This window comes from Homo sapiens, chromosome 7 (assembly GCF_000001405.40).
Source record: "Homo sapiens chromosome 7, GRCh38.p14 Primary Assembly".
NCBI classification, from domain to species: Eukaryota; Metazoa; Chordata; class Mammalia; order Primates; family Hominidae; genus Homo; species Homo sapiens.
This window is the reverse complement of record NC_000007.14, coordinates 128109035-128117431: the sequence shown is the minus strand read 5'-3', so window position 1 is coordinate 128117431 and position 8397 is coordinate 128109035. Positions and strand designations below refer to the sequence as shown.

At 51.1% G+C, this 8397-nt stretch overlaps 2 annotated features.

Moving 5' to 3' along the window:
* Nucleotides 538-1054: an enhancer, noted in NCBI's record as "H3K27ac-H3K4me1 hESC enhancer chr7:127756430-127756946 (GRCh37/hg19 assembly coordinates)". NCBI's record gives its function as "activates a minimal SCP1, AML or CMV promoter by ChIP-STARR-seq in primed H9 embryonic stem cells {active_cell/tissue: H9 hESC(primed)}" and the evidence as "EXISTENCE:reporter gene assay evidence [ECO:0000049][PMID:30033119]".
* Nucleotides 1055-1571: an enhancer, noted in NCBI's record as "H3K27ac-H3K4me1 hESC enhancer chr7:127755913-127756429 (GRCh37/hg19 assembly coordinates)". NCBI's record gives its function as "activates a minimal SCP1, AML or CMV promoter by ChIP-STARR-seq in primed H9 embryonic stem cells {active_cell/tissue: H9 hESC(primed)}" and the evidence as "EXISTENCE:reporter gene assay evidence [ECO:0000049][PMID:30033119]".

The window sequence follows — 8397 nt, the reverse complement described above, 5'->3', positions numbered from 1 at the left end:
GATGCCTTCTGCCATGTTATCATGAAGCAAGAAGGCTCTCACCAGATGTGGCCCCTTGGTCTTGGATGTGGTGGAAGTCTCCAGATGAGTGAGCCAAATAAATTTCTTTTCACTGTATGTTACTGCGTCTGTGGTATTCTGTTGTAGTAGCGGGAAATAGACTAAGACACTGGAGGAAGGCATTGTGGGGACTCATGATAATTGGAACATGGAAGGAAGGGCTGCCTGTCTTGTGGGCATAGCCTGGTGTGGCAGATTACACACTCTGGGGATGGCTACAATGCTATCTCCCATTTCATCTGCTCTTTTTACAGTGTGACCTTGAGTCAATGTCCCCTCCCATCAAACCTGGGCGGCCCTTTGTGGCTGGCGAGGCCGGACGGTGGTGCTGGCCGAGGACATGGGGCGTGGTGCTCTGTGACATCCAAGGCTGGCTGCCAGACAGGAGTGAGTGGGCTTGGATGGTCCCAGGACACTGTGAGGTCGGGACACAGGCTGCAAGCACAGGCCTCAGGGGTCTGGCTTGGCCTGCTGCTGCCCTCCTGTCCTGCCTGGCCTTCCCCACCCCACACCAGCCACAGCTGTCAGGCGTGACAGGAGCCTGTGCCCTTGCCTTCGCAAGGCTGCATGGCCATGCTGGGTGGGACAGCTGTGCCCAGCCTTGCTGTCTGGGCTGCCCACCCACAGAAGGAACTTGCCCAGGTGGTTTGAAACCCTTCAAAAATGGCCCCTGAGGTTGTGTCTATTGGTCCTGACAAAGAGAGGCATTTTGGTGGGGGGTGTCCGTGGTAGGCAAGTGGCAGCCAAAACCTCGGCTCCCAGGCCTGGCCAGCAGCCCCTGCTGCACTTGGTTCCTCTCACCAGAAGCCTGGGCAATTCTGGTCAGGATGCGGCCCTCACTGCCCCATCCCCCACACTGCGAATTCCCCACATGCTTCCCTTCAAGCTTAGGGGCCGCGTGGCGAGAGGGCCGTCGCCCTGCGGGACAGCGGGCCCATCTGTTGATTCCTCTCCATCTGTCTCTCTAGGGTCCTTCTCTTCTCTGCCCTTCAACATCATTTTCAGAAGAGCATTTCCTCCGCCTCCGTGTCTAGCCCATCTCCCCTGGCCTGGCATCTGCTCTCAGCTCCAGGTGCCTCTGTTGGTGTTAGTCCATTTAGATTGCCTGGAGGTGTCTCTCTTTGTCTCCTTCCCAAGGCTCTCTTAGTCTTGCCTCTAATGCTCCCACCTCCAGTCACTCCGGGGGAATCTACTGAGCACCTAGCAACAGGCCTCAACACTCACCAGCTGTGTGGCCTTGGGCAAGCTACTCAACCTGTCTGTTCAGATGCCCCACTCTCCTCGCCTGACAGTCTTCCAGCCCAGATGTTCTGCCATCATCCTATCTCCTCCTGCATTTGCAGAGAGGGGCAGGAGTCCAGGGAGCTGGGGGCTTGCCCACTCATGCCAGCATCAGAGATCTACAGGAGCTGATTCCTCCCTCCTCCCCATGTCTGGCTTTGGGGCGCTGAGATCCCTGGGAAATGGCAGCTCAGGAGGGGTCTTTCTGTTTGGGAGCCATTTGCCACCCAGCCTGGAAGGAGGCTGCTGGGGAGGGCTGCTCCCTCCCAGGAAGAGCCAGTGAAAGAACAGCCGCTGTGGTCCCTTGGTGGCAATGGGACAGTTGCAGCTTTCCACAGGGTGGATCATCAGGAGAAGGACAGCAGCAAGCCCAGGAAAGCCCAGGCAGCTCAGCCACCCTTTTCATTTATTCAAGCCCTTGCCATCGTGCCAGGCCTCGCAGGTGTTTCCTGGGAGATTCTGGTGTCCCTTTTTCAAGGGACATTTGGCTGGGAAGTTTCAAGAGTCCTGTCAGTACACGATGCTATGACTCACTCAGCTATTTCCTATGTCCCTCGGGCTACCCTAGCCAGACCAGAAGCTTCCAGAAGGCGGAGTCTATGCCACCCCATCCCTGAATCCCCACAGTCCCCGTTTCCTGGGAATGTGGTTAGAATGACTATCTGCCGATGTCACCGACACGGAGGTGACTGTGGACACTTCAAGACTCTTGTCCATCTCTAGAAACTGGTGGTCCTGGAAGTGGGTCCACAAGACCCGTAAGAGCCGGGAGAATGAAGTCACCACTGTCACTGCTGTCCCCATCCCTTGCTTTCTGAGATGTGACTTCCTATCCTCGCTCTACGGAGAACAGCTGGAGCCATGCTGAGCAGTTCTAGGGGAAGACAGGACAGGCCGCTACCAGCCCCTTGTGAAACACTGGAGTTCAGGAGGAAACATGGAAAATGAACAGAGAAACATCATCCCCCACTTTGAGCTTCTCTCGACAGACACGCACACCCTGCACAGAACTGGGCAGGGAGCAGGCAGGCTGGACACAGGGAGGGAGGAGCCAATGACAGTCACTCCTAACGATGCATGACCACTGAGAGCAGACACTCATGGAGCCCCCACTGTGTGCCAGGCACTGGGCTCGGCATGGTTTCCCCTGTTTTTCACGACAACCCCGTGAGACAGATCCTTGTATTATGATTCATATTTTATAGACAAGGAAAAATGAGTTGCTGAGAGGGTAACTCTATCAGAGACACACACACAGCAGCAAGTGGCAGCACCAGGACTTGAACCTGGGTGGTCTGACATGACATCAGCCCTCTACCACCATGTCAAGAGCAACCTTACCTCACACCTAACACCGGCACTCAGCCCCACCATGCCTTTGGAATAGCGTTCTGCCAGTGCTAAGTGTGCAGTCCCATATTGCCCCAGGCTCCCTGGGCAATTTGTCTCAGTCAGCTCTTGGCTTGATAAGGCTGTGTAATAAAGCACTCTCAAAAATCTCAGTGGCTTGCAATAAAAAGCATTTGTATCACGGGTCTGCAGGTCAACTGCAGTTTGGCTTCATTTATTAGCCACCTATTATGTGCCAGGCACTGTTTTCTGTCGGACCTTCAGGATTGAGCCATCCAGCCATGGAGATATACATGAAACTAACAATAACGAGAAATGCAGGCACTGTGACAAAACCGTGGAAAGTGCTAGGGAGACCCAAGGAGAGGGAGTGGCCAATTCTTCTCTGAGAAGAATTGGGGATAGAGAGTAACACACAGGCTGGGCTTTGAAAATACAGTAGAATTTCAAGAGACAACGAAGGTGGACAGGGTGTTCTAGAAAGTGGGGACCATGTTTAGCAAAGGCATAGGGTGCAAGAAGAAATGAGGAGCATTGAGTGGGCTCCATGCAGTCTCCTTTGCTGAAGAACAAGGTGCGTGAGCAGGCATGGGTGAAGCAGGAGGTTGGCCACAGATTAGAAAGGGTCAGGCCCAGCAGTGGGAGAAGTCTTTGAACTTTTTTAAGCTGGAGAGTGGACTGACTAACTCCCAAAGGGGAGGAAGACAGCGACTGAAGGCAGGAAGATGGTGAGGAGACTTTGGCGGTTCTCCAGGTAAGAGACGTTGCAAACCTGAAGCCAGCTGGACCAAGGACATGGCTCAAGTGGGAGCCTGGGTGTGCATGATCCCAAGGTGAGGGGGCCAAAAGGTCCCCCTGAGAGTTCATGCAGTGTGTGACAAGAAGCAATTAAGGAATATTTCTGTGAGGCTCATATTTTGACTATCTTTCGAAAGAGGCATTATTAAAATGTTTTCTCATCAAGGGCAGCAGAATTGAGATAAATCCACATCCTAACCCCTACCCCAGGTGGGTGTTCTGCAGAATCCTCACTTACCCAATTCCTTACTAAAATGTTGGTTCTTTGTTTTGTTTTGCTTTAAACCAGATTCATTCTTTTAAAAAAAAATTTAAATTTTTGTGGGTACGTAGTAGGTGTATATATTTATGAGGTAAATGGGACGTTTTGATACAGACATGCAATGTGAAGTAAGCACATCATGGAGAATGGGGTATCCGTCTCCTCAAGTATTTATCCTTTGAGTTACAAACAATCCAATGACACTCTTTATTTTAAAATGTGCAATTCAGTTATTACTGACTATAATCACCTTATTGTGCTATCAAACAGTAGGTCTTATTCATTCTTTCTATTTTCTTTTGTACCCATTAACCATCCCCACCTCTCCCAACTCATTTTTTTGGAGGCACACATAATACATGCTGGACACACAGGCCCACCCAGGGTCTACTCTCTGTGGATCACAGACTGTGCCCGCAGAGAACCAGCCACAGCGAGGGGTCTGCACGTGCCTCCCCGCCAAGTGCAGACAGATGGCCCTGGGTGCCCAGCTCTGGCATGGCACTCAGAATGTCCTTCAGCAGTGACAGTCAGATGCTCAGCACAGACAGGAAGCAGTCTGGGGCTGCATGACCGAGCCAAGGACCCACAGGGAGCCCAGAGGAGTCAGAAGGTCCTCATACCCTTTCCCTAGGCTCACTCCGCAGCCTGTGCTCCCCACATTGAGGCCACCCCAGCCAGATCTGAGGCAAGGCCACTGAGCAGACAGACACCTGCCTAGACATGAGAAACCCACCAGAGTCTGAGAAACTCACGTGACCAGCTCATGTCAGGAAAGGGAGGGTGCTGCTGCAGCTGGGAGAGGTGCTTATTTTTAGCCTGCTTATTGGCTGGGGCTTTGCAGACTAAGATGAAGCTCCTGCTCCTCACTGATGCTGTTATTTCTCCCCACCGGGGCTGGGAATTGGTTTATCTTCCAGGTAGCCACCTCAGCAGCCGCCCGCCGCAGCAGCAGGCCCCAGGCAGGTTGCTGTGTGTCTATTATTTTTGATTGCCCGTCTTATGGGGCATGAAATCACTTCTGGGAGGGTGTGAGCTTGGCACTGCCCTCGCTGCCGCTGGAGAGGGAGCAGGAGGCAAGGTCTCCTGAGGGTGCAGCTGAGGGTGTGGTTACAGCCAGGGGTCCCGGGGCCGTGGGCACTCCTACACTGCTGTGGGCCACGCCTTCTGGCTCTGAAGGGGCTGAGTGAAAGGAAGCACCCGAGGGAGGCGGTAGGAAGGCTTCAGCTGGGAGGCAGGGCATCGACTTCCAGCACCGTCTCTGCCCTGGCTGGTGCTGCTGTGCGCCCAGCCTTCCATGCCCAGGGAGTGCTGATGTAGTTTGGTGCCTCAGTTTCTCTTTTCTGCAAAATCAGCAGGGCCATGTTCTCTTTATGGGAAAGCTCTAGGGAAGAATTGCTTACCTCTTCTAATTTTTGGTGGCTTGTGGTGTTTCTTGGCTGGGGTTGCATAACTCTAAATCTCTGCGGCTCTGCCTGCCTTCCTCAGACAGTCTTCTCCCCTGTGTCTCACGTCGCCCTTTCCTTTCCCCTGTAAGGACAGCAGTCGCTGAATTTAGGGCCCACCCTGGATCTCATCTTGAAATTCTTATGACTGTGGTCTGAATGTTTTCTATACAATTCATACATTGAAACTGGATCCTTCGTGTGACAGTGTTAGAAGGTGGGGCCTTTGGGAGATGATGAGTTCGTGAGGGCTCTGTCCTCATGGCATTAATGCTCTTATAAAAGGGACCCCAGACGCCAGGTGCATAGACTTATGCCTGTAATTCCAGCACTTTGGGAGGCCAAGGCAGGCAGATCACCTGAGGTCAAGAGTTCAAGACCAGCCTGGCCAACATGGCAAAACTCTGTCTTCACTAAAAAAATACAAAAATTATCCAGGCATGGTGGTGCATGCCTGTAGCCTCAGCTACTCGGGAGACTAGAGGCAGCTACTTGGGAGACTTCGGAGGCAGAATTGCTTGAACCTGGGAGGCAGAGGTTGCAGTGAGCCAAGACTGGGCCACTCCAGCCTGGGCAACACAATGAGACACTGACTCAGAAAAAAAAAAAGGAACCCCCAGGGAGCTAACTATCCCATTCTACCATGTAAAGACACAGCACAACAGTGCCATCTGTGAAGTAGAGAGCAAATCCAAATCCACACCAGACACTGAACCTGCCAGCACCTTGATCTTGGACTTCCCAGCCTCCAGAACTATGAGCAATACATTCTGTTGTTTATAAGCCACCCAGTTTGTGATATTTTTTTCTTTTAGCAGCTTGAATGGACTAAGACAAGTACTATCTTAATTATATTTGCAAAGACCCTATTTCCAAGTAAGGTCACATGCACAGGTACTAGGGGTCTGGACTTGGACATATCTTTTGGGGGAACACTATTCAGTTCACTACAGCCAGGTGCTTGTGCAGATGCTCCTTAGTTCTGTCCCCTACCTGCAGTGTGACAAGGTCAGAGGGCACTGCAGTTGGAGGGCATGAGGCCTACAGAGGAAGCTGTTTGCCAGAGAGCTGCTTCTGTGCTGGGCTGCCCACTTCCCTCCTACACCTGGTGCAAATGAGAAGTTCAGCCAGCATCTGAGCCCTCAGCTCAGAGTCAAGGTTTACACCCAGTTCTTCTCCTTCCTTCTGCAGGAAAGAGCCAGACAATAAGAAAAAATAGGAAGAAAGGAGGTTGAATGAAAGAAATCTGAGCCTTTCAGAATGTGCACCACCTGGGCAGAGAAGAAGAAACAGAGGTGACAAGTGGGAAGACCTCCGGGCCTGAAATTCCCTGTCATGCTGCAGCTCCGGACCTGCCCCTACCTGAGTGGGGAGCAGAGGGGTGGACTGACACCTCAGACCCCTGGGCAGCTCTTGGCAAACTCACATGCTTGTCTTCAGCAATCCTGGCTTCATTTGGGGCTCTTTTCAAACCCAGGGCCTTCCCTGGGGAACCCAGGCCCCTAGCATCCTACCCACCTTCAGTAGTTGCCACACACACACACACACACACACACACACATTCTCTCTTTCTGTCTCTTCTCAGACATGTGTCTCATTCCCTTAGGCCTTCTTTTCTCAGCTTTTCAGGTGATAGGGAGCTAATCCTACCAACAAATTCAAACCAACTTGAGAGCTAATGGCTGAAACTGTTAATGATCGCTAACAAAATGAGTCCTAGGGGCGGGGTGGGGTGTGTGTGTGTGTATTTTGCATTTCTGTGCAGAAGTGTTGCAGGAACTCAGGGACCCCGAATGGAATGACTGGCTGGAGCCGTGGCAGAGGAACATAAATTGTGAAGATTTCATGGACATTTATCAGTTCCCAAATAATGCTTTTATAATTTCTTATGCCTGTCTTTACTTTAATCTCTTAATCCTGTTACTTTCATAGGCTGAGTATGTACGTCACCTCAGGACCACTGTGATAATTGTGTTAATTGTACAAATTGATTGTAAAACATGTGTGTTTGAACAATATGAAATCAGTGCACCTTGAAAATGAACAGAATAACAGCGATTTTAGGGAACAAGGGAAGACATCCATAAGGTCTGACTGCCTGAGGGGTAGGGCAAAAAGAGCCATATTTTTCTTCTTGCAGAGAGCCTATAAATGGACATGCAAGTAGGGAAGATATCACTAAATTCTTTTCCTAGCAAGGAATATTAATATTAATACCCTGGGGAAGGAATGCATTCCTGGGGGGAGTCTATAAACAGCCGCTCTGGGGACGTCTATCCTATGTGGTTGAGATAAGGACTGAGATATGCCCTGGTCTCCTGCAGTACCCTCAGGCTTACTAGGGTGGGGAAAAACCGGGCCCTGGTAAATCTGTGGTCAGACCAGCTCTCTGCTCTCGAACCCTGTTTTCTGTTGTTTAAGATGTTTATCAAGACAATATGTGCACTGCTGAAGACAGACCCTTATCAGTGGTTCTCCTTTTTGCCCTTTGAAGCATGTGATCTACTCCCTGTTCTTAGACACCCTCCCCTTTTGAAACCCTTAATAAAAAACTTGCTGGTTTGAGGTTCAGGTGGGCATCACGGTCCTACCGATATGTGATGTCGCCCCCGGCGGCCCAGCTGCAAAATTCCTCTCTTTGTACTCTCTCCTTATTTCTCAGCTGGCTGACACTTATGGAAAATAGAAAGAGCCTACGTTGAAATACTGGGGGCGGGTTCCCCCGATACAGAAGAGGCTTTAGCTCAAAGAAAGGAACCCCTGATGCTGGCAGCGAGACATATTTTTGGATTGAGGGGCTTTGTCAGAGCTCTGGATGTGTCGCGTATGTTGACCACATATACACAGCTGCTGCTGGGTCACCTCCAAGTGGCCCAGGCTGCCCTTTGCCCTACACTTGTTGGGACACAGGCCTTTGTCAACCCACCTGGGAACAGGTCTTGGTGGATCAGCGTCTCAGACAGGTCTAGCTAGGTCACATTGACATGCCTCGGGATCTATTTATTACCGTTTCCTCCTGTTTGCAAGATGAAACAACTCAGTAACACGCCTACCCAAGGTCACACACAGTACAGCTTCTTTGATGGAAGCCCAGGTGTGTTCTGTCTCTTGAGTCTAGGCTCTCTTCTTTTTATTTAGGGGGCTGTTTATCCTTTTTCAATGCCATTCCTCTCCTCTCCCTCTCCTTTCAAAAGCCAACCA